General features: G+C 39.5%; 1 protein-coding gene and 1 long non-coding RNA gene across 18 annotated transcripts in view, besides 1 other annotated feature; one reads left to right on the top strand and one right to left on the bottom strand.

The window, feature by feature from the left end:
- Positions 1-12,569: 12,569 nt before the first annotated feature.
- The window catches only part of NCOA7 (nuclear receptor coactivator 7), a 150,920-nt gene continuing 137,051 nt past the window's right edge, over positions 12,570-26,438 (bottom strand). For 16 of the 17 annotated variants that reach the window (XM_047418206.1, XM_047418207.1, NM_001199620.2 and 13 more), the window contains 5 exons: positions 23,536-23,661; positions 21,770-21,922; positions 16,846-16,941; positions 16,357-16,430; positions 12,570-15,968 (listed from right to left, as the gene is read on the bottom strand). In XM_047418206.1, coding sequence (XP_047274162.1) covers positions 15,833-15,968; positions 16,357-16,430; positions 16,846-16,941; positions 21,770-21,922; positions 23,536-23,661 — 585 coding nt within the window. In that variant the 3' untranslated portion in view covers positions 12,570-15,832. Of the gene's footprint in view, positions 15,969-16,356; positions 16,431-16,845; positions 16,942-21,769; positions 21,923-23,535; positions 23,662-25,172; positions 25,350-26,438 lie in introns of those variants that run through there. The other variant, NM_001199622.2, reaches the window with a different exon arrangement.
- Positions 25,186-26,385: an enhancer, noted in NCBI's record as "BRD4-independent group 4 enhancer chr6:126239365-126240564 (GRCh37/hg19 assembly coordinates)". NCBI's record gives its function as "activates an origin of replication core promoter dependent on BRD2, P300/CBP, MED14 and CDK7 cofactors, and independent of BRD4, by STARR-seq in HCT116 cells {active_cell/tissue: HCT116}" and the evidence as "EXISTENCE:reporter gene assay evidence [ECO:0000049][PMID:35650434]".
- Positions 25,562-26,424, top strand: LOC124901397 (uncharacterized). Its single transcript, XR_007059741.1, has 2 exons — positions 25,562-25,763; positions 26,073-26,424. It is a non-coding gene; the product is annotated as an uncharacterized LOC124901397 (long non-coding RNA).

The raw sequence follows: 26,438 nt of genomic DNA, 5'->3' as shown, positions 1-26,438 counted from the left end.
CCCAACTGTAGCTCTTTGAGCTTTGCTAAAGGACATTAAGGGAAGTCCTGATCTGTTGTTAAGTGGAAACAGTGTAAATTATTTCTAATGGAAAGAATGACAAAAGCAAAACTTCCCCATCCCTGCTATTTCCTTGATAAATTGCTTTGTTTACTCGTCTACAGGATGTAATGCAGACATTTCTGTTTTTTATAATCTTTCTTAAAAACCATGTCCTTAAACAAAGCATTGAAAATAATCTCTTCTTTTTTTTTTAAATCAGGAACAAGGCTACACCTGGACTTTGTATTTTTGATAAAGAATTCAGCATAAACAAAGTTGGGTGTGACTAACACCATCATATTTCTAACTTACTTTCATCTGGCATTTTACAATTTTCTAAGACACTTTCATATGCACAAATTGATTTTCATGTCAACTGAGAGAAAAGGATATTATTATCCCTATTTTAGAAATGGAGAAAATAGGACACAGGAAGATGAATTTACTTGGTGGATGATAGATGGGTCTGTCTTGCAGGCCTTTTAGTAGCACAGTGAGGCATTTCTTATCTCCTCCAAAGCAGTACGAAACAGCTACCATGTAAATCAGCATAACTCTGACATCCTGAAGTTAATGTCAATTTTCTTGTCAAGCTCACACCTATATTTCCTCATCATCTCAAGGCCAATGTATCTTATCCACACCACTAACTCTTGTTCTTATTAGTTACCCTCGAGGTAAAAATTTCTCTTTACTCATACCCAAACTTTCCCATGCTTCTTTTCCCCAAACTTTTTTCACTGCTAACCTCCTTTGAAGCTCTTTCCACTGTAAGAAACACAATTTCTTTGTACTTACTCAAACCTATATCCTCAACCTCTTAGCAGAGCGAAATCTTCACCTTCTTTCCTTAACTGAAACTTGGATTTCCTGCAAGAATATTATTTCCCTTGAGCTTTGACAAGCAAAAACTGCTTATTCTCTCTTCCCAACACACTGAGAGATTTGGAAGCAGGGCTGGCATTCTCCTAGCTTCTAAATGCCAGCTCCAGGTGATTCCATTCCTACCCAAGTGCAATGGTGCGATCTCAGCTCACTGCAACCTCCACCTCTTCGGTTCAAGCAATTCTTCTGCCTCATCCTCCCAAGTAGCCGGTATTACAAGCGTGCGCCATCAAGCCTGGCTAATTTTGTATTTTTGGTAGAGACAGAGTTTCATCAGGTGGGCCAGGGTTGTCTTGAACTCCTGACCTCAGGTGATCCACCCACCTCGGCTTCCCAAAGTACTGGGATTACAGGCATGAGCCACAGTGCCCAGCCCTCTGCCCTCTTTGGAGTCTCGTGCTATAGCATGGAACATAATCACCTTCATCTACCTGCTTCTAGATCACTCCTAGATTCACAGAGAACTTCAGCACCTGGCTAACAAACACTGCCAAGCTCCTGCCGTTATCTTAGACAACTTCACTGTCCATGACTCACCGCTTCTCAAACTCCTGGATTTCAATGCCCTTTGCCTCTATTCCTCTTTAACACAACTCACCCCTGTGGCAAATCCAAACTTTATAATCACTGAGATTATCTGGAAACCTGAACAATGACTGTTCACAGCTCTGTCAGCACATGTCCTAGCAACTTTTATACTCTCCTGACATGGTAGCAATTTCTGTTCTTGATCTTTCTCTCTTTAACTCTTCCAGCCACCCTCCCATCTTTACTTCCTTCTCTAACCAGCCTACTCTAGCGGCCCACCAATTCCCTGAATTCCGTCTCACCACAGCCTCCTGCTTTCTGCTGTACTCCCCACTAACTTGCTATTTCCTGTAGTTATCCTGGTGGTTTAAGGCATAGACTGGGGGATCCAGACTCCCTTCATTTGAAGCCCATTTCTACCACTTAGTAGTGATTCCACTTCAAATAAATCATTTAATTTTTTATGGCTTCCATTTTCCTTAGCTGGAAAATAATAGTAGTACCTATTCATGACTATCACAAGTTATTATGAAGACTGGAGTAATATACGTAGAGTGCTTAGAATAGTACCTAGCACATAAGTGTTCAGTAAATGCTTACTCTTATGACAACTGAACTTCTGGATGCTACTTCCTTAAAAAAGTCGTATAACCAAATTAATAAGCGCAAATATATGTCCAGATATGCAAAGTAAAACACAAACTGACAAAAATCTTCTTTTTTCATTCCTCTCTCTATATATTGCCTGTTTAAGGGAGACTTTTGAGAAAATACCCTGGTAGGGCCTGAGACTCTCTGACACCATTATGTTAACCGTTTGTCTTCCTCACCAGAAGTATATAAGATTAACAGACTGATGAATGTCTATTATTTTTAAGGCAGGAATGGCAAGGACATTAGGTGACCTCTTCCAAGAAGACAGACTTTAAAAACCAGGCAGTTTGGGCACAGTGGCTCATGCCTGTAATCCTAGCACTTTGAAAGGCTGAGGCTGGTGGATTGCCTGAGCTCAGGAGTTCAAGACCAGCCTGGGCAACATGGTGAAACCCTGTCTCTACCAAAAAACACAAACAATTAGCCAGGCGTGGTGGTGCGTGCCTGTGGTCCCAGCTAGGTCTCAGGAGGCTGAGAAGTGGGAGGATCACTTGAGCCTGGGATGCAGAGGTTGCAGTGAGCCAAGATCGCGCCACTGCACTCCAACCAGGGTGACAGAGTGAGACCCTGTCTCGCCAAAAACAAACAACAACAACAACAAAAAACTCACCAGGCAGAAGACATGAAAAGAGATCTCACAAAAGAGAAAACAAGAATGGCTAAGAAACACATTTAAAGATGCTCATCCTCATTAGTAATCAGAGAAATGCAAATTAAAGCCACAGTGAGATAACATTACACACGCTTGAGACTGGCAAAAACTAAGACTAACAATATTGGGTGTTGGACAAGATACTCTGATAGGCATATAAACGGTGCAATCACTTTGCAAAACTTTGTGAGGTTATTTACCTTACAAAGCCAAACATTCACATACCCCCAAAGCACAAAACTGCAAGCAACCTTATCACTGACAGGAGAGTAGATAAATAGTGGTAGAGAAGTATGTTCACATGAGAAATAGCAAACACACACACGTACACAAGTGAAACGTATCTACATTAATGACATGAATCTTAGAAACAGTCTTGAAGGGAAAGGAAATGAGTATGTTTCTAACAAGGAAAGCTATATAATGTAATGACACTTTATATATATTAACCCATTTAATTCTCTATTCGAGGTAGGTAGTATTGCTCTCATTTTATAGATAAGGAAACTGAGGCAGAGAGAGCTCAGGTAACTTGTGCTAATAAGTGAAGGTGCCAAGACCTACCTAACATTTCTTTCATGCTTACACAGTACTAGGTACTGTACTGCTTTGCCTAGATTATCTGTTTCATGAAATATGCTTTTTATAAAATGTCATTTTTTTTTTGCCAGATACATCTTCCTAAATTAACATAACGAGTTAGGACTGGAGAATCCAGTTAATCACATGCCTTTGCACTCTTCTCCCAACTCTATCATCTAAGTGTAAAATGAATTGAGAGTTTGAACTTCATTTAAGTAATCTTCTGAACCATTTTCCAAGCATGATTTTTGGAAACCCAGAATGTGACTCACTGCCAACACCCTAACGCCCTGAGGCCCTGGAATTTTCCTTTAGTCTACATTTTTCAGAATGCTAATAACTTAATAAGAGACATGAAAATAAAGGAATTCTCCCCGAGGACAACCATCACCCAGAAATCTCCTCCCCAGCATTCTTTTACTTTCACCCTTAAAACCTTAAGGGAAGAACTCCAGCAGCTAGAAAGGGGATCATTCCTTCCTGCATCGCAGTACTTCCTCTCAAGAATAATCCTTGTAAATCTGTAATTCAGCAATGTGTGTGGGGCAGGGGAGGAGAGCTGGGAATCCAAACCCTGTGTTTTAGTCCCAGCTCTGCCCTTTAGCTGTAGAATACTTGACAAATCCATTAACTTCCCTGGGGCTCATTTCCTTTACTTCTGCACTTCCATTCTGTTAAACCCGACAAGCATTTCTTGAAAGCTTCCTAAGTGCCATGCACCCTACCAGGTTTTGGGGATATAAAGATGAGTAAGACACAGTTGGCCATAGAGGAGTTTTCCAGCCATTCAGGAGCTTTCTTTCTAGAGTAGAGAACTGTGCATCATGGTAACTAAGGTGGCTAAGCAGAATGTGGGTATCCAGGTGGTGGAAACATTGTGAAAAGTGAACAATGCTAGCATACTATTATAAAAGAGGTCAGCTCTGGGGCCCAATGTAATAGCTCTGGGGCTCGATGTAACAGAGATATCCTCACTGTGACCCTCATTAGTTTTGTGATATTAGACAAGTTACCTAACCTGAGGAATCAGTTTCCTCACCTCTAAAACAGAGATAATAATTGTACTGTCTTCTTTTTGCAGATCAAATAAGATAATGTATGTAAAAAGGATGGTTGATAGTCATCCTAAGTAAATGTTACCTGTCCTCCTCCTCCTCCTCTTCATCACTATTATTAGTATATAAGTTGCTCCTTAGCAAGGCATTGTGACAGAGTCTGGAGATCTAGGTAGACATCTGTTCATCAACCTTGCTTAGCTCTAGCTTACTCACTAGAGGATGTCACTGAGGTGAACATTCATTTCTTGCCCTCAGATCTTTCCTGAAGATGTTCACATGCATTAAAGGAACGTTAAGAGGCCAGTGCAAAGTAAAATTGATTCCGGGAAGGTTATTTCTCAATGTTCTGAAGTATGAGTAAGATGCAATTTATCATAGAAGAAGCAAGAGGATGCATTTTGATAAAGATGGTGTTAGTTCATAATTTTGGGAGATGTTTGAGAAGTGAAAATCATGCTGAACAAATTTGACTTGTTAATGAAAAGAGTCAAACTCTGTAAAAAATATTAAGAGATTTATTCTGAGCCAAATATGAATGACCATGGCCCATGACACAGCCCTCAGGTCCTGAGAACATGTGCCCAAGGTGGCTGGGGTACAGCTTGGTTTTATATATTTTAGGAAGGCATGAAACATCAATCAAATACATTTAAGTAATACATTGGTTTGGTTCTGAAAGGTGGGACAACTCAAAGCAGGGGCTTCCAGGCTATAGGCAAATTTAAACATTTTCTGGTTGACAATTGGTTGAGTTTGTCTAAAGACCTGGGATCGATAGAAAGGAATGTTCAGGTTAAAGATAAAGGATTGTGGAGACCAAGTTTTATTGTGCAGAGGAAGCTCTCAGCAGCCTTCAGAGAGAGCAGGTTGTAAATTGTTTCTTATTGGACTTAGAAGCGTGCCTGACTCTTAGTTGATTATCTCCTGGATCTGGAAAGAAAGGAAGGAAAACAAAGGGGGAAGGGGAGGCTCTATAGAATGTGGGTTTTTCCCACAAGAAACTTTGCAGGGCAATTTCAGGGTATGGCAAGGAAATATATTTTGAGGTTAAATATTTTTTCCTTGTCTCACAATGTTATGCCAGAGTCAGATGGAAAAGTAAGTCACAATATATAGCATCAAATAAAACCATCTGATGATAATTTATGGTTTGTAGGGCTTGACTCCCCAGACCCCTTAGGTAGGAATTTGGGTAAGATGAAAAAATCAGAGCTTAGTCCTCAGACTTGAGTTGAAAAAGTATGGTCTAGAAATTATAAAGGAAATTATAAATCTGACTACAAAGAAATTATTATAAACTCATGTATAAAAAAATTGTTTTAGGCCAGGCGCGGTGGCTCACGCCTGTAATCCCAGCATTTTGGGAGGCCAAGGAGGGTGGATCACAAGGTCAGGAGATTGAGACCATCCTGGCTAACATGGTGAAACCCCGTCTCTATTAAATATAGAAAAAATTAGCCGGGCGTAGTGGCGGGCACCTGTATTCCCAGCTACTCGGGAGGTTGAGGCAGGAGAATGGCATGAAGCCAGGGGGCAGAGCTTGCAGTGAGCTGAGATCGGGCCACCGCACTCCAGCCTGGGGGACAGAGCGAGACTCCATCTCAAAAAAAAAAAAAAGTGTTTTAAAAATATAAGCTAGCAAAATATTTCCAATATATATGACAAAGGACTAAGTTTGTGAATATACAAAGAACACTTACAAATCAGCAAGAACAACTGAATAAAAAATTGACAAAGGACATGGACAGACTATTCAAGAAAAAAGACATACAAATAGGCAATACATGTGGAAAGATGTTCAACCTCATTTATGATTAAAGAGTGAAAATTAAAATAGATATCATTTGAGCAAAGAATAAAAAGAGATTGACATAACCTGTATTGGTGAGGGTGTGTAGTAACTGGCATGCTCATACACAGTTGATGTAAACTAATGTAATTTATTTATTTTTATTTTTATTATTATTTTTTGAGACAGAGTCTTGCACTGTCACCCGGGCTGGAGTGCAATGGTACGATCTCAGCTCACTGCAACATCTGCTTCCCGGGTTCAAGTGATTCTCCTGCCTCAGCCTTCCGAGTAGCTGGGATTACAGGCACCCACCACCATGCCCGGCTAATTTTTTGTATTTTCAGTAGAGATGAGGTTTCACTATGTTGGCCAGGCTGGTCTTGAACTCCTGACCTTGTGATCTGCCTGCCTCAGCCTCCCAAAATTCTGGGGTTACAGGTGTGAGCCACCGTACCCATACCCGGCCAACTAATATAATTTTTGAGGAGGAATAATTGATAGTGTGTTATAAAATAAAAGGTGCTTTTACTCTGACTCACTAATAAAAATTATCCTAAAAATATACAATTCATAAATGCACAAAGCTCTAGATACAAGGTTGTTCCTAAGAATTGTTTGTAATAGCCAAAAAAGGGTCCATTAATGAAAACTGTTTAAACAATGATAGACCCATGCAATGAAGGATGAGATGCCTACATATATTGATATAAAATGGTCACGTCATATTGTTAAAGAGGCAAACCGAAGAATAGTATATAGAGTACATTTCCTTTTACATGAAGAAGATATAAATTAGCTTATATATGCATAATAATGCTCTATAAAGAAACAGAATTTTTGTGATTGTTACCACTGAAATTGTAGGAAGGGAAACATTGCCTTTTACTGAATTCTCTCCTGCACTGTTTAAAAATTTTATGGTGAACATATATTACTTGTAAATTAAAAAAGAAGGAAACAAAACCTTAGTTAAAGACTTTAAACAGCAAATAAGAGGCATTACAATATTTCTGAAATTAGTTTTAAAAACTAAATAAGTTATTATCTTAAAAGTTGAACTTTCCTTTGCAACTGTTAGTTACATCACTAGGTGATTCCTCCATAAGATGAAGGAATTTCTCCATTATTTTATTTATCTAGTGCTTAGTAATGCTTACTTTATGCCAGGCTACTTTAAGTGCATTAATCATTGTATAATTATGAGTGGTTATTACTATTATCCCCACATTACAGATAAGAAAATTGAAGCACAAAATCAATGTGCAAAAATCACAAGCATTCCTATACACCAATAACAGACAAACAGAGAGCCAAATCATGAGTGAACTCCCATTCACAATTGCTTCAAAGAGAATAAAATGCCTAGGAATCCAACTTACAAGGGATGTGAAGGACCTCTTCAAGGAGAATTAAAAACCACTGCTCAATGAAATAAAAGAGTACACAAACAAATGGAAGAACATTCCATGCTCATGGATAGGAAGAATCAATATCGTGAAAATGGCCATACGGCCCAAGGTAATTTATAGATTCAATGCCATCCCTATTAAGCTACCAATGACTTTCTTCACAGAAGTGGAAAAAACTACTTTAAAGTTCATATGGAACCAAAAAAGAACCTGCATTGCCAAGACAATCCTAAGCCAAAAGAACAAAGCTGGAGGCATCATGCTACCTGACTTCAAACTATGCTACAAGGCTACAGTAACCAAAACAGCATGGTACTGGTACCAAAACAGACATATAGACCAATGGAACAGAACACAGCCCTCAGAAATAATACCACACATCTACAACCATCTGATCTTTGACAAATGAGACAAAAACAAGAAATGGGGAAAGGATTCCCTATTTAATAAATGGTGCTGGGAAAACTGGCTAGCCATATGGAGAAAGCTGAAACTGGATCCCTTCCTTACACCTTATACAAAAATTAATTCAAGATGGATTAAAGACTTAAATGTCAGACCTAAAACCATAAAAACCCTAGAAGAAAACCTAGGCAATACCATTCAGGACATAGGCATGGGCAAAGACTTCATGTCTAAAACACCAAAAGCAATGGCAACAAAAGGCAAAATTGACAAATGAGATCTAATTAAACTAAAGAGCTTCTGCACAGCAAAAGAAACTATCATCAGAGTGAACAGGCAACCTACAGAATGGGAGAAAATTTTTGCAATCTACCCATCTGACAAAGGGCTAATATCCAGAATCTACAAAGAACTTAAACAAATTTACAAGAAAAAATCAAACAACCCCATCAAAAAGTGGGCAAAGGATAAGAACAGACACTTCTCAAAAGAAGACATTTATGCAGCCAACAAACACATGAAAAAATGCTCATCATCACTGGCCATCAGAGAAATGCAAATCAAAACCACAATGAGATACCATCTCACACCAGTTAGAATGACGATCATTAAAAAGTTAGGAAACAACAGGTGCTGGAGAGGATGTGGAGAAATAGGAACAATTTTACACTGTTTGGTGGGACTGTAAACTGGTTCAACCATTGTGGAAGGCAGTGTGGTGATTCCTCAAGGATCTAGAACTAGAAATACCATTTGACCCATTTATAGACATGTGCTATAAAGACACATGTACACGTATGTTTATTGCGGCACTATTCACAATAGCAAAGACTTGGAACCAACCTAAATGTCCATCAATGATAGACTGGATTAAGAAAATGTGGCACATATACGCCATGGAATACTATGCAGCCTTAAAAAAGGATGAGTTCATGTCCTTTGTAGGGACGTGGATGAAGCTGGAAACCATCATACTGAGCAAACTATTGCAAGGACAGAAAACCAAACACTGCATGTTCTCACTTATAGGTGGGAATTGAACAACGAGAGCACTTGGACACAGGGTGGGGAACATCACACACCGGGGCCTGTCATGGGGTGGGGGGAAGGGGAAAGGGTAGCATTAGGAGATGTACCTAATGTAAATGACAAGTTAATGGGTGCAGCACACCAACATGGCATATTTATACATATATAACAAACCTGCATATTGTGCACATGTACCCTAGAACTTAAAGTATAATTTAAAAAAAAGAAAAAGCAATAAAAGTTATGAGTTGAATCATAAAAAAAAAAGAAAATTGAAGCATATAGAGGTAAAATAGCTAGTCACATAGCTAGTAAGCTCTAGAGCTGAGATTCAAAATTTGGACGTCTGACTCTAGAGAATCCATACCTTAACCATGCTTTGTTGCTTCTTGAAGTCTTTTTTTTGTTTGTTTGGGGTTTTTTTGAGACGAAGTCTCGCTCTGTCTCCCAGGCTGGAGAGCAGTGACGCGATCTCGGCTCATTGCAACCTCTGCCTCCCAGGTTCAAGCGATTCTCCTGCCTCAGCCTCCTGAGTAGCTGGGATTAGAGGTGTCCGCCACCATGCCTGGCTAATTTTTGTACTTTTAGTAAAGACGGGGTTTTGCCATGTTGGCCAGGCTGGTCTTGAACTCCTGAACTCAAGTGATCTGTCCACCTTGGCCTCCCAAAGTGCTGGGATTACAGGCGTGAACCACTGCACCCAGCCATGTTTCTTGAAGTCTTTAGAAATTTTTAGCATAGTCTACCTGGGTGACCTAATTATATAACCTGCAAAGGTGCTCATATCATATACCCCAAGCTCTTTCTAGGATACTTCCAGGTCAAACCTATCCACTTTTCTGACCTTTTGGAGGATCTAATAGAAAAACAAGATGCTACAAGAGAACAAGTCTGGGCCTCGTTGCACATGGAGTAATAGGGCCTTTTAACAGCTCTCAAGTTCGACACAAAACCTCAACACAGCATAACAGCATATCTTTGTTGAAACATTCTTCTTAATTGCTGTCTTTAAACCTAGAAGGGCTGATCTCAGGCAACTGTGGGGTAAAATGTGACTGATCCATCAGCCAGTAGAAAATAATGTTAAGCCAAGAAGGACTGCCATGGAGATGGAAAGCTGAATTGTTTGACTGAATTCCTGTATTTTCAAAGTGATGTCAAGGTGAAGATATTTTTTTAGCTGCAGAGGCACAAGAAGACATGCTTTATCACCTAAGCTTGTTGACAGTGAACATGTTTCTTGTGTTTCTTGTTTAGCATTTTCCTCAAGGGTTATGTCAAGCTAGATCAGGGTTACTTTTTCTAACCCTAGAAATGAAGAGATTGATGAAATGATGGGCCCTTGTTGATGGTAAATAGGACACTAAAGTTATCTAATGGGTTCTGCCCTATGGCTTTTGATTGCCTTTTATTCTAACAAGTTGCTATTGAAAACTTTCTCCATGTACAGGCAGGTTCTTTGAAGGGCTAGTGGGCATCCCAGGTGCCAAACTTGGTAAGGAAGGTTGATCACTGAATTTTCATTGGTCACTGAATAGCACCGTGTGAGGCATTCTGAGACATTCCATTATTTCTGTTGGTTTGGGACTGAATGCACAATTCTATGTAAGGAATGGGTTGTTTTTATTTTCAGTGGACCATCGTGCACTGTAGAGGGTGCCTGGTAAGGGATATGGTATGCTACAGTGCTGCCATAAGTGGAGGAATGCCCAGCACAGGAACAAAAACACGTGATGAAGGCCGTGTCAGGAAAACTTTATGTCAGACAAGGCCTGGGCACTAGGAGAGGCTTTCATTACCTTTCTTTTTGTTGTTGTTGTTGCTGTTGTTGTTTGTTGTTGTTGTTGTTTTTGAGACGGAGTTTCGCTCTTGTTGCCCAGGCTGCAGTGCAATGGTGCAATCTCCGCTCACTGCAACCTCCGCCTCCCGGGTTCAAGTGATTCTCCTGCCTCAGCCTCCCGAGTAGCTGGGATTACAGGCAGGCACTACCACGCCCAGCTAATTTTGTATTTTTAGTGTTTTGTAATTTTGTATTTTTAGTAGAGACAGGGTTTCTCCATGTTGGTTAGGCTGGTCTCAGACTCCTGACCTCAGGTGATCCGCCTGCCTTGGCCTCCCAAAGTGCTGGGATTACAGGCATAAGCCACCGCACCCGGCCTCGTTTTTAAGAGAAGGGGCTTCACTCTGTCACCCAGGCTGGAGTGCAATGATGTGATTTTGGTTCACTGCAGCCTCAATTTCCCAGGCTCAAGCAATCCTCCTGCCTCTGCCCTGAGTAGCTGGGACTACAGGTGCATGCTGCCACACCTGGCTAATTTTTCTTTTCTTTCTTTTTTTGTAGAGATGGGTTTTCGTCATGTTGCCCAGCCTGGACTTGAACTCCTGAGTTAAGATGATCAATCCTCCTCGGCCTCCCAAAGTGCTGGGATTAGTGTGAGCCACCACACCTGGCCAGTTTTCATTACCTTTGATTAGAGATGGGGACCTGTAATCCTATGTAGATCCAATTTTTCAGTTTAGGGAGACTGTTAGGGAACTCAGCTCTCTCGTCACTTTATAAGCTGACTACCTAAACAGTGAGAGACATAGTAGATAACCTTAGGTGGTACCAACCTGTATGAAGATCTGTAATGGCATAGACAAAGTGCTTGGAAGTAAAGGTTCTCTTCTGGTGAAGGAGTCATAGTCTGACTTAATTGCCAATGAAAATATAATTTGGCAATAACATCTAGATCTAGAGCTGTGCTGTTTAATGTGGTAGCCACCAGTCACGTGTGGCTATTTAAATAAACTAAAATTAAATAAAAAGTTCAGCTCCTCAGTCACCCAAGGCACATTTCAATTGTTCAACATTAGTATGGTAGCTAGGGGCTATCATTAAGGACAGTGAAAATTCATGAAACATTTCTATCATTGTAGAATGTTCTATTGAACAGTGCTGATCTAAGAGAGAAACCAAAAGTCCTCAAAGATATTCTATCAAGAGACAACATCTTGATGGCTTGATTGACCATACCAGATAGCTCATATCTCATTTTTATTCTGAACCACTAGAGATTTGAAATAGAAAGGGAATAAGATCTTAAGAGTTTGGTGTGAAGAATGAAGCTTATTTTTTTTTCAGTAAAAACACCTTCTGTTAGGGGCTCACTATGGATAATGGTCATAGGCCAGGAGGTGACAGAGAATGTGATGCTTTGAAGTCAGGGCTTTCTCTGATTAAGAGTAAGTGACCTCATTGGGCAGAAGGAAGTGGTCAAAGGCACTTTTGATACATGCACAAGAAATGAGTGTGGCTTCCCTTGAGTTTTCTGGAATTTCCCTTGGTTTCTGACCTCCTTACCTTTCTGTATCGAATTAAATTGGTAAAAATAGGTTAGGCATCCTAAGAAAAACATGAAACGTAACACTCCTTTCTGGCTTAAGAGATTCTCAATGGCTTCCTCAAAAGGAGAGTAATTCTTTCATTAATGCTGTTTCATGTGTGTATTAGTCCATTTTCACACTACTATAAAGAACTACCTGAGACTGGGTTATTTATAAAGAAAAGAGGTTTAATGGACTCACAGTTTCACATGGCTGGGTAGGCGTCAGGAAATTTACAATCATGGCAGAAGGCAAAGGGGAAGCAAGGCACATCTTACATGGCAGCAGAAGAGAGGGTGAGGGTGGAACTGCCAAACATTTTAAAACAGATCTCATGAAAACTCCCTCACTATCATGAGAACAGCATGGGGGAAACCGCCCCCATGTTCTAATCACATCCCACTAGGTCCCTCCCTCAACATGTGGGGATTATAATTCCAATGAGATGTTGGTGGGGACACACAGCCAAACCATATCAATGTGTCTCTAAAACTTTAAAAGGCATCAAGGAGAGGGAGATCAAATTAAGGGAAGACATACTTATAATAGTGCAGGATGTCTCTGGTGGCTTGTAGCACGGGGATGCATCTAATCATTTTCAGTAGAGTCTGAAGAAACATTTGGTTGCCTCCTCCCACCCAAGTCCTTTGATATGGACTTATGAACTGAGGAATTATGAAGCAATGAAGACTGCTTGGGGTCTTCATCTAGCCCAACATCTAGGGGCTAGGTGTCAGGATGCCAAAGAAAATTTATCAGAGAGTAAAGTGTCCCTTACGGAAATTATGAAGTAGGTTAAGACAGATGTTAAGAGGAGGAGGTTGTCATTCATTGCACAGCTAGAAAGATTAGAAGAGACTGGTAGATACAGCCAAGAGTTGTCTCTGGTAACCATAATGAGAGCAGTTTCCGTGAACTGATGAGACAATTAGGAGGGTGGCTACAGGGAATGAAGAGGGAGTTTCCAGGGCAGCAGTGAAAACATGAGCTCTGGACCTTGTTTAGTCTTGGATATTTCACCATCCTCTCACAAAAATAAACACTCTGGTACCCAGTAAATACCTGATGAATGAATCTTTGGGAAAGAAAATCACTGAATGCATAAAGTCCTTTATTGAAAATATTGGGATAGCACTGCATTACATATAGTCAATATCCATAAATGAAGGGTCACACATTTCTGAATGGACAATACTGTTTTACATAGAGAACACAGCATCTGGATATGCTCTCACAATTATAGTATCATGGACTAAACTAGGTCAGAGTGAAGTATATGCAAAATGACCATTTTGTTTTTTTCCATTTTATTAATAGCATATGGTTGCAGATGGTGTAAATGGTAAACGTGATATCATGAGACATTCCTGATATCTCACACCAACACATTATTTAACGAGCAGGTTAAGGTGAAACTGCCAGTATGCTGTTAGTCAAGAGTCCTCAGTAGGAGAACTTGAGTGAAACGTACACCCAGGCTACAGATTTAAAATTTTATAGCATTCATTTAAATTTGCATGGAATTAAGGAGTATAATAATTGTTGATCTGACAGGAGGCCACTGGACAATTTGTTCTCTTTCACAAAATGTCTAAAATAGGAGAATAATGTAAAGGAAGTATTCTAAGAATTGCTTTTTTAAATGCAGATATGTAAATAGTACTTGTTATACATTTTTCCTTTCAAAAATTACCGGGGAAATAATTTATGACAGACCATTTTTCAGCTTTGGTTATTATTTGAAATTTTTTCCTACTAGCAAGCAGTCTTTGGCTTTCATAAAAGTCTGGTAATCAATAATATTGGTTAAGTAAGTCTTTATTATTATTATTATTGTTATTATTTTTAAGACAGAGTCTCGCTGTTACCCAGGATAGAGTGCAGTGGCACGATCTTGGCTCACTACAACCTCTGCTTCCCGGATTCAAGCAATTCTCCTGCCTCAGCCTCCCGAGTAGGTGGGATTACAGGTGCCCGCCACATAGTCGGCTAATATTTGTACTTTTAGTAGAGATGGGGTTTCACCATGTTGGCCAGACTGGTCTCAAACTTGTGACCTTGAGTGATCCACCTGCCTCGGCCTCCCAAAGTGCTGGGATTACAGGCAAGAGCCACTATGCCTGGACCTTTATTTTATGTAATAGATGTTTTATGATGTGAAAATAGGTTGATATCTTAAAAATAGGTTTTCCTTTCTATTCCAATTTTGATATGAATGCATTTCTTTGTATTGTTTTTTTCTCAAATAAATGAATCAAGAAACCAAGACAATTGGTCCAATTTGACGTTTTTCATTTGATTTAAAAAATGCAGAAATTAATATACTGAGTCCCTTTTAAGACAGAGGCCTGCTCGTTAATGTAAAAGCTTGGAAAAGTTATACAAAGAACACTCCGAAAATAAAGTTTTTGTTATTAACACAAATGATTTTGTAAGAAGCAAAACATTTTTTTTCAAAAGCAGGATTTGTTCTAAGTCTAGGTTCACAAAGGTATTCATTTCTATAAATATCAACTTAAGACTGTGAGAAATGATGTATTCTTTTTCACACGAATATGTTCAAGGTAAGTAACTAAAAATGTACGCTTTTATTGACTAAATGGAAAGCTGGCCTATAATAGTCAAATTGATGAACATTCATAATGAGTTTTTAGAAATTTAGAATTATACACTCATATATATGTATATGTACATATACATACACACACACATATATCTCTATATACCCACATACAGATATATAGATATATGCTGCTTAAGACCTATCACCCTAAACAATCAGGGCAAAAAAAATTCAATATAAAACTATATAAATCAAACAGATTTGTTCCCAAAACATAGCACAAAATGTATACATTTAATATTTCAAGATTTGACACATTAAAAGAAAAAAAACTGCCGACACATTTCAGACAATATACTACAAATAATAAATAAAAGTTTTTTTTTAAAAAAAAAAAAACCTCATATATTCCCTTTAAGTGCTGTGCACTTTCGATTTTTCTAAATGAGACTAACCTTTTCCATGGCAAATAATAGCTGTACATTTTGGTAATGAAAATTATGCTGATAAATACACAAGGCATGTATATATCCACAGTATCTTATTTTTCACAGTTACCAAAAATAAAAATTGCATTCAACTCATATATCTATAAACACTCTGATTCCTCACTGTATGGATTTGGAGGAAGTGGGAGTACAAAGTCTTTTCAACAACCTGGATTTTAAGTTTCTTTCTTCAATGTCTGCCCTCTACATGGACCTTCCAGAATCTTTCTGCAATGTGATCATGCTCTGAGATGATGGCAGAAAGGAAGCATTGGGGTGGGATGAGGCAGGCTGGGCTGGGGCTTCTTTTTCCAGCCAGCTTTAGGAGGGCTGATCGAACCCAGTCTTTTTAATGTTATATTTTAAGGCAGTCTGAATTTCAATCAAATGCCCACACCTCCAGATCCTGAACTATGAAGTCTTCCTTTTTGGAAAGAATATCATTATTGAAAGTGCTGCAAGAGTTGCTTCGTCCGTGGTATAAATCAGCATCTAGCCATAAACCAAATCGTCCCCTGAAAAGGTTAAAAAAAAAAAAAAAGGTAAAAACACTTCTATGTTACATGACACACTATTCTCTCTTGCCCCCATCTTCTTTCCTTTATACTACTGACAGGCAAAATTCTAAACTGCTTATAAAACCAGGATACATTTCCTTTATTTCATTTAAATGACCAGTCTTCCTAAAAGACAAGTGGTAACAGTCTCTCATTAGACACATAAATATTCTATCTTTGATTCTTAGTTAGGCCATTCTGTGTTAGCCTCTGTCCTAATTCATCTAAGCACATGGACTAGCTAAAATAACCTGACACCGAAGTTTTAACTACGTAGGTCAAAACAGACCCACTCAGGTCAGGTGGTAAAATAACAATAAGAAAACAAAAACAAAAAAAACCTTACCCTCCACCACCAAGTTCTAAAGAACTTATGTCTCCATTGATAAAGTATGAATTTTCTCCACTCCACTTAAAGACCTTGGGGAAGAAACACAAAAAAGAAAACAGACATTTTAATCTGGAGAATTAGCAATGAGGAAATATGAAATAGTATCTATATGTAAAAGGGAACCACCTCACCCCATTGACGGAGGAAGTTCCTGACTGCCAGACCTGGCCCACACCAGGATGAGATCTCCCAAGGGGTTACGAAGGAAGGAAGACCTTTCAGACACGTGGTGGCTCTGACCTGCGACTCTCTGGATCCCAGCCTGAGCAGCCCAGAAGGCCAGGGACGCTAAGCAGTTTGCGAGCTACAGTCATAAAGGGCTGACCCAGCCCGGAGTCAGTTCAGGAGAAGTTACAGGACAGCTAGCTGCCCCAATGCCTATCCCCTTCCCCAACTGAGGACACTGTGACATATGGGAGTTGGATATTTCTCCTATCTAGGTACCTTAAAATGAGGGCTGAATGTGTAGAGAAAAGTTTCGCCTGTGCCATAATAGTGGTCACTGAACTTGAAAGGATGAGTTGCATATGCTCCAAAAATCTGTCAAAAGAAAACAGAAATGTTACCTACATTCAAACCTAAATCCCCAAAGCAAGGCTTTCTGGAATATTTTTGATACATCATGTTCTGAGATCTATTTCAGCAAAGATTATTACTAAATTGGCACTCAAACTTAAAAAGACCACCAATAAAAGAATAAACAAATATCCCCAGCTCTAACTGGAACCCAAGTAGCCAGACTTCCTGGTGCACGCAAAATTCATCTGACAAAGCTTAGACAACTTGTTTGTCAAAGGCCAACAATTTGTTCCAATTTTAAAAGATTTCCAAAGTTCACTATGGAGACAAATTTCTGTTATTGAATATACATAACATAATAGAAACATTAAGCCACAAGAAGATACATCTTGCTCACAGAAATGAGTGCTTGGGACAACACAGTCACATCTCTTATGTATTTTATAAGTGGAGTCATGGCTGGGCATTTCCCCAGAGAAAATAAACTTTCCTTTCTTTTGATTTGTAACAATGAGTTATTAATATGCTTATTAAATTAAAATTATATCCTTAAAAATGACTGACTTACTATAGTTTAGTTCAAAGTGACTTTTAAGAAACAAATAACCCCGTAATATCATGGAGTTATTTAGATCATGAATATCATGAAAGGTAACTTAGATGTGTTTAAATCAATGGTTCTTGTACTTTTTCTTATCGGGGGATGGAAGGGGAGCCAAGCTACATGAGGAGTAGTGTTTTCAGAATGTGTACGCCCACTGCCTCAGCATCTCATCCTTCTGTTCACATCCTGATCAGCACTTGCAGGGGTGAGCATATGTATTCTGAAAATGTCCCTAGGTGATTCAGACATTCTTTCTATTTCAAATCCCATTTGAGGAACATTGCTTTAAATGTAGGTTATCTGGAAAATGTCATAGCATTTTTCAAAAATTATTTCAATTAGATCACAATCTCTGTGTGCTGTCTTCTTCACCACTTACACTCAGTTCCTGGCTATACTTGTAACACTAAGTATTAGGTAGAAGGCTAGAAACTCTTTCTAACCAGTATTTTTCATACTTCTTGCTACCAAACCTTTCCCTAGAGCTGCTAAGAACAAAGAAATATAGCACAGTAACAAAACATAAAAAATCCTTTGCCCTTCTTCTGGTAATCTTCCAAAAAAAAGAACCAGAATACAATCAAAATAGGCATCTATTTTTAAAAGCATGGGGTTAAAATATGACAAAATATGACAAATACGTGGAAGAAAATGAGTTCCCTCTCTGATCAGTCAATAAGTTATCTTTACTTTCACACCCTCCATAGAATTTTAAATATTTTCTTTTTTAGCTAAAATTCCACCACCCCCCTCCCTTTTTTTTTTTTTGAGATGGAGTCTTGCTCTGTTGCCCAGGCTGGAGTGCAATGGCATGATCTCAGCCCCTCTGCAACCTCCACCTCCTAGGTTCAAGTGATTCTCCTGCCTCAGCCTCCCGAGTAGCTGGGATTACAGGTGCACACCACTATGTCTGGCTAATTTTTGTACTTTTAGTAGAGACGGGGTTTCACCACGTTGGTCAGGCTGGTCTGGAACTCCTGGCCTCAGGTGATCCACCTGCCTCGGCCTACCAAAGTGCTGGGATTACAGGTGTGAGCCACCACACCTGGCCTTTTAGCTAAAATTTTCTTAGCAATTCTGGAAATGCATTTAAAGACTAAGGGCTGGATGATATTGGGGAATTACTGTTAATTTTGTTAGATCTATTGCATTGTGATTATGAGAAAATGTCTTTTTTTCTATTAATGTATTTAAAAAAATTGTATAAAACAACTTTTATATAATAGTGTTGTTCAGCCTATACCATATAAAAATGTAATACATTTAGCAATAGCAGAACAAAGGAATCCAAGGGAATAGATGAAGAGCAACCCAGAAATGATAAAAGGAAAGTCATATAACAAAACATATAAATGTACATTTGCTCTTCTTCTCTCAACTTCCTTAGCAGACATAAAATTATGTAACATAGTAATCATAACAATCTATTGCTATATTTGTAATATATACAGATATAACATTTATAACATTAGTACCACAAAAAGTTAAAAGATGTAATAGAGCAAAATAGGAGTAACATTTCTATACTTCACTGGAAGTTAGTAATTAGTCTCTATTAATTGCCTGATGATTGTTCTATTGTTGTCAACAATGCCTGGTGGTGTAAATTATTCCACAGTCTGATTCAATTAAATGTAGGTTCCTTTGCATGGATAGTTTCTTTGGCCAGACTATGAAGTTTACCCTGTCTCCAGAAAGGCTCTCCATAGCTGTCTCTTTTCTTGGATCTCTCTGGTAAAGTAGATGGTCTACAGTTTAATTTGTTGCCTTCATGGCTACAGCCTTCTTCTTAACACCAAAATTCTCATTGTTTTCTAGAGTGCCCTTTGGCTTGAACTTCCCCAAGTGTGTCTAAACAAAGTCAGTTCCTTTGGGTAGAGCTTTAGAACTCTATGTCCTGTGGCCTGCCTCTTCCCCTGGGAAAAAAATCTCTAACCCACTGCTCTGAAGCTAGGGACTAGACAGTGACAGCAGCCTCTGGTCTTGGCTTGCCTCATCTGGTGCAAAACTTCTGCCCTGTGAGCTGAAATGAGAGCAGGAGAGACCCCTGTATTCTCAGCCTGCCATGCCTACCGTAGAGCATGGCTCTGTGAGTGGAGGGTGGGTAGAAGAAGAAAGCCCCCTACCTCTAGGCCACACTTGCTTGGATTTTAGCCTCAGAAACACTGATCTTGGGTGGGAGATAAGAAATACAGGGGACCCACAGTGAGAGAGGGTACACCATAACCCTTGACTGGCAGCTGTGGGAAGAGAGTGCCCCATCTTCTTGGCCATACATGCCCAGAGTGGAACCACTGTCAGTCTCAGCGGGGGGTTAGGGAAGGGAGAGAGTTGTGCCTCAAGTGCCACAGAGTCCCACTGTTATAACTGAGATTAATTAGATTTTCTTGAATAAATATTCCCTCACTGGCTTAGAATAATTTCCAGAGACTTTAAGTGATTGTTGTTTTTGTTATTTCTACCAGCTATGGTTCTTTCACTGGGGACTGATTCTGCAGAGCTCCTCATTGCTGCCAGTCTACATATATAATATTTTTATATTAGAATGTCATATAATTCATTTTCAGACACATTTGCAGGTGTTGTTCTATCATGTTCTCAAACACAGCAAAGCCACAGTTTCCCCTTCGGGGTAGATGGGGTGCAGAAAGCAAAGTTAGTGTCTGGTTGTCCTCAAATGACACAAGTGCCTCCAGGGTACATGATTCAGCAAGACTCCACCCAGTGACAAGACTGCAACCTTCAGTTGTAGGCCTCCTTTACAAATCGCACAGGAAGTTTGGTAAAACTGTGCTTCATCAATACCTGTTCTGTGTGAACCATCACATTCCTCAACAAGTGTGATATTTTGGTAAGTAAATAGGACAAATAATCTATACTTAGGTGAGAGTCTGTATGTGTGCTCTAAGATAATATAGCCATACCTCATCCAAAATATAACATCCAATTCTGGAACATTTCACTAAATTCCTAAGTCTCTTTTAAACCAACTGTTATCATTATTTTAATTTTTTTATCTTGACTCTACCCACCTTTCAGCTTGGATCTTTATTAAGCAAAATGTCAGCAATCAGGAAATAACAATAGTAACAATGACAGCTAAATTAATTCCCACAACTCTTAAGCTACAATAATATTACGATAAAGTCACAAAGATCACTGCTAAGAAAGACAGTGTCTTTGGTACCCCCATTTGTTCCCTAATTTTTCCCAAGGCAAATCATGACAGCAAAGTTCTATTTCCTGTAAAATGATCCCATGTATATGGCTCATTACAACGTGGACATGTCTCAGTATAAAAATGTTGTGCTTCACAGTAAGCTCCCCAATGCTTAACAGTGCCTAGCGCCTAACAGGCTCTAATTAGATATTTGCTGAGTGGATGAATAAATGAATGAATGAATGAATAAATGTTGAGTAAAATCTGCTTCAGTGACAGAAAATCTGCTCAATGCTGCATCTTAAAATCTTAGAGGAATTTCTAACAGAACACAGGTCAAACTGAAATGAGCAATGAGCAGATGTGAATGATGTCTTCCTTTCATGATGCAAGAGACTGACAGGAAAGTGACCGAAAAAAACCTGGACAGATTCCACTCCCATTCTGAGCTGACTTACGGGAAGAGATAACAGTGCAGGGACAAGGGGTAATAACTAGTTTTCACTAGTTCCTCCAAGAAAGACCAACTGTAACACAGGCAAAAGTACAATCAAGAACGGTACAGTGTATTCTCTGTGGTTTCTTAACAATTGGGCCCCTCAGGCACAACACACTATGGCCTTGACTGACTCTCCATCACATCCAAAATGCAGGCAAGGTTTGTGGGCACTACTTTGGCTACCTGGGAAAGGCACTGGTATGGCACTGGAACTTATTTCTGCAACTGTTTCCAAATCCAGATCTCACTCCACCCCAACTTTCCAGTTTTTAGGCTGTGGGATATCATTATACTTTTCCACTTCATGGTGATAGAAAAAAGCTCCTTAGAATGTGACTGTATTTGGAAGTATGATCCATTTGCATTTTGGAGATGATCCTGAAATATGTAGGGGTGAAATGCCATAATGATTGGGATTTACTTCAAAATATTTCAGCAGAGAAAAAACAAAGATAAAAGACACAGAAGGCAAAATCCTGTTAACTGTGGAATCTGGGTGATGGAAGTATATGGTACTAGTCTCTCTACTGTTGGGAATTTTGAAAAATTATTAAAAAATATTCTTTATGAGAGGGACAGGCCTCACCTGATTATCCATATCTTTGATGACCAATAGGACAGGACTGTCTAGTGATGCCGATTTCCGGTAGAGCGTCTTTAAGCTGGTCCCGTGCTCTAACGTGCTATAGGCCAGTCTCCATGGATACCCTTGCACCCTTGCAGGAAGGCGTCGGGCCAGCTACAAAGCCAAAGGAAGAGATGTAAACAGAAGGTTCACCCACAAATTGCTCACGAACATGTGGCACAAAACAAATGCCTGTTATTCAAACTCAGTATCATACACTCACATAGTGCCCCTCCTTATTCTGGCAAATATTTGCTATTCTAAACCAAGAAAATGATCATTTGACAGTGTTTACCTTGGCAAGGATACTGGCCAGGAGGTGTCTTCCCATTCAGGGACATGACTATGGAGTCCCTATCCTGCTATATATTTGAAGACACAGATCAAGCTGGATAAAGAGGCATAAACTAGACACATGCCCTTCCTTTCCACTTCAACCTGGCTTTTACCAAACAGTTCATATTTTCCCAATTTTTCTTTCTAAACACTCAGAGGCTCAAAACTGCTACTGAGAGCTGCAGCTTTGCACAGAAGTGAGGGCAAAAAAACAGGGACGTTTAGTGTTAGAAGTCAGGTGTCATCTGTTCTTATTGCACCTATATCTTTTACCTGCATCAATATTTAAACTTGGCCATAAATAACCAATAATGTATATCTCTTCAAGAATATTACCAAAGGAGGCCATGAAGTGCTGAGTCTTCAGAGTGCTTAAAATCAGTTTCAGTGTCAGTGTGAATCCCACACTCTATAATTACTTGGTCAAGCTTCTTGGCTGTCTTGGGTCTTTACTGGTTCCTCAGTAAACTAGGGAGCCAAACTTAATGATTATTTAAGGTCTCTAAAATTCATGTCTCTAAGCTGACTGATGAGGGAAATGCCAGGGATTCCTTACTACAGTTCAAACATAAGTGCATTATAATATTTCATGAATTTCAAGTAAACATTCAGAAACTAAAATACACAAAGAAAATCATAGAAAAAGGAAAAATTGTCCTGTAGGTAGGTATTTTTCATAAAGCAAGTAGAGTGCCTTTGCTGTATTACTTTTATTGAGCCCTATACATCAAAGCTATGGGAACTCTGCAATAATTACAAGGATAAATTTGGATCCTTTTTAAAGCATATTAGGACTATGGTAGGACGCTTAAAATTTTTATTTTTTTAAGATTAGAAATGGCTTTTTCTTCAGGTTTGAGAGAAGGATGTTAGTGTCTGACCAACTCCTCATACTACTAAGAAGTCAGCAGGGAATGCGACTTTTCAGAGGCAGAGCAGGGGGCACTGGCCTTAGTGGGCTGCTGGTGTTCCTCCTTCCTCACAAGCCTCATCCTTCAGCCCAAGTGAGAAGGGCAAATGCATTCAGGGATGGGAATTTTTTTTTTTTTTGAGACAGAGTCTCACTCTGTTGCGCAGGCTGGAATGCAGTGGTGCGATCTTGGCTCACTGCAACCTCCACCTCCCAGGCTCAAGCAATTCTCCTGTCTCAGCCTCCTGAGTAGCTGGGATTAGAGGCATGTGCCATCACGCCCGGCCAATTTTTGTATTTTTAGTAGAGATGGGGTTTTGCCATGTTGTCCAGTCTGGTCTCAAACTCCTGACCTCAAGTGATCCGCCTGCCTTGGCCTCCCAAAGTGTGAGGATTACAGGCATGAGCCACTGTACCTGGCCAAGGGAAATATTTCTTAAAGCCTAGGAACCCCCACCCTTGGTGGCCAGGGCGAGCCCACCTGCTCGATGTGCATATTCTCCAGGAGCGCGCTGTGGGGCCGTAGGACAGGCAGCACCTCTTCGTCCTCGTCTTCATAGTAGCTGCATGTGCTCTTCCTGCGCTTTGCCTCTTCAACAGTGATGATCTGAAATGAGAAAACAAGCCAAGAAAAATAACTTATTGGCTTTTCTTCTAACTGCTAATTTAAAAAATCACTCTAGGGACACCCGTGCTTGAAAAGGTGACGCTTCGGCAGCAGGAAATCAACTGAACAGGACTTTGGGGAAATGGCTAATTTTTCAGTTTCAGAACAAATGCACAATTAAAGACAGTACAATCGAGGCAGTTAATATGTATAAATTAAAGTCACAAGTCACAAGGCTAGACGTGGTGGCTCATGCCTGTATGCCCAGCACTTTGGGAGGCCAAGGCAGGAGGAAGATGGCTTGAGCCCAGGAGTTTGAGACTAGCCTGAGCAACATGATGGGACCCCTATCTCCATATAGAAATAAAATAAATAAATAAATAAAGTCACGAGTTTTCCAGTTTTAGTATAGCTGCTGATTGCTCGGTCACTGAGAATAGTATATAACACCAGAAGATTTCTACCTTTGAAATGCCCTAAATGATTCTCTTTTAGCCTTTAGATTTAGGATCTGAATTGTTAAAGGACTAATCGGAGATCATTCAGTAGGTAAGTCTTCTATAAATAGGGAGTTTGCGGTGATGAGGATAGTTTTTAATCAGGTTCCTGATGTTTTCTCTTAAGGTTGTGCACATAGAAACCACTTCTGTTAGAAATAACGAATGATAACAGCTACCAGGAGCATGAGTACAAAGAAGTGTGAAGCTTTAGTCTAAATTACAACTAGGTTACAATTATTTATGTACTGTTCAGAGATGATAAAAATAGTCTCCCCTTCTAAACCTAGAAACATCATATTGTACAAAACATTTATTATTTAACTCTAGCTATGCTTATGAATTACCAAAGTTCATTTTACTCTAAAATCCATTTTTGGCCCTTCTTAAATTATGGATAAATCACTGGATTACTTTCAGATTGAAGAGTGTATATTAGGCTTCTTGGCCTTTTGTGTAAGATCAAGTGAAGGATTATATTAGACAACTAATTCACCAAAATGTACTAGTATTAATGATTTTATATTATAGAGAAAAACATTTAAGTTAAATCCAGTGCAAGTTGTCAGGCAGTAGTGCACTACTCAATTTCCAAAATGCACAATGACAGATACAAAGTACCCGCTGGCGTCTGAGCCAGATTTACAAGTAAGAAAATTAAGCTTACTAATTTTACCATTTTCTGGGGGAGTGTTTCCGTAGTGAAAACACTATCAAGAATCACAAACCAAGCATTTTAAATGAATGAAATAAAACACTCTGTTTTCAGCAAACTCTGTGTTTATCACAAGTATAAAATGAGGCTGTGGAATGAAAAAAAATCAAATATGGATTTCTGGCTCCAATGAGAAGAGGCAACCACACCATAACCCTCTCCGCAATGAATAAAACACCTGCTGGTAGAAATGTCAGCACAATCCTTTCTAATTAGAACGACTTTCAAAAGAAACTCGGAGGTACATCACTGAGAATTCACCAGCACCTTATTAGCCCTCGGGACGCACTCCAACATACCTTCACAAAAGGCTCTTCGTCAGGTCTGGCACAATAGAAAATCTGGATGTCCAAGGGTAATCTTTGGCCTCTCATTGTGAGCAGTGAGAAGTGTGGCTCTCTCTCTAATGAGGAACAAGTTTTCTCTCTACTCTGCTTCCACACCACAGTTACTTGTAGCCACGCTGAGCTACAACTGTTTTCTCAGTATCTAGTTTCCTGCATGATTGAGTTTCTGTTTCCCTCAGGAGAAGTTTCAACATTTCTACAGGAACACACCCAAATTAGGATTTAGAGCAAACACACTTCCTGCCAGGCATCGCTGTGAGACTGTAAAAGGACACTTTCACCTTTGAAACGGTGGTTTCCCAACACTATGATAAAACCCCATTGTTCATTTTTTTTCTTTTCCTTCTTATACTTTTTTTCCTAATCGTCCCTCCAGTGAACCTAGCTTTTCTAGCCCTGCCTTTTCAGAGTTTTTTTTCTTTTTTTTTTCTCCCCCGCCCCCAGCACCTTCTTTAAGGCTAAAGCTCCATTTAAAATGGTACGTGTGATCCCTGGTATAAGCTTGAATCTCAAAGGAAGGATGAAAAGGAGCCTTCGGTGGAGGTAGGCTTCATTACAGTTAGAACAAACGGCATTTCACTTCAATACTATGTCATGTTTGTTGGTGGGAGGGACTTAAAAGAATGGGAAAACATCTGGTTTACATGAGGTTGTGAAAGATGTCATCTTACATGTAGTTTTATAAAACAGTTGGCAGAGTAATACTTATCTTTTTACATTTTGGAATTAGTTTTAATGACTAATAAGCAGGATGAGTCCTCCTCTACACTTCAGATCACATGTCAGGAGGTTAGAAAGAAATACAGATCAGCACTGGATCAATTTTCAGTGATATTTCTGTGATTCTTCCAGATCCGAAGTGGCCTTTCAGTCTTGGGCACAGCTGCGGGGATCAGAGTGTATTGTATTGCTCACACTGGGGGTTATAAAGAAGACTCTAGCAGATACTTAGAGACCAGTCCACGGCCAGCAGAACTGACTCTCAATGCAACAGCCTGAGCACAACCTGGGACAGAATGCCAGCAAGACAACACTCTCCTCTGGGCCCCTGGGACTCCAGGACAGCGGACATTTATTATTTCCTATATGATGGTGGGTGCCAGGTGCTTTGCCAGGCACAGAGACATAAAGCTGCTCACAGTCTCCAGCAGGTGAGGAGACAGTAGAGAAACAATTCTAAATAAATGGGTGCCATTCCATGTGATTGTAAAAGGAAAA

The sequence above is a fragment of the Homo sapiens genome, chromosome 6, assembly GCF_000001405.40.
Source record: "Homo sapiens chromosome 6, GRCh38.p14 Primary Assembly".
NCBI lineage: Eukaryota > Metazoa > Chordata > Mammalia > Primates > Hominidae > Homo > Homo sapiens.
The sequence above is the reverse complement of the archived record's forward strand: the minus strand, read 5'-3'. Positions and strand labels throughout refer to the sequence as shown.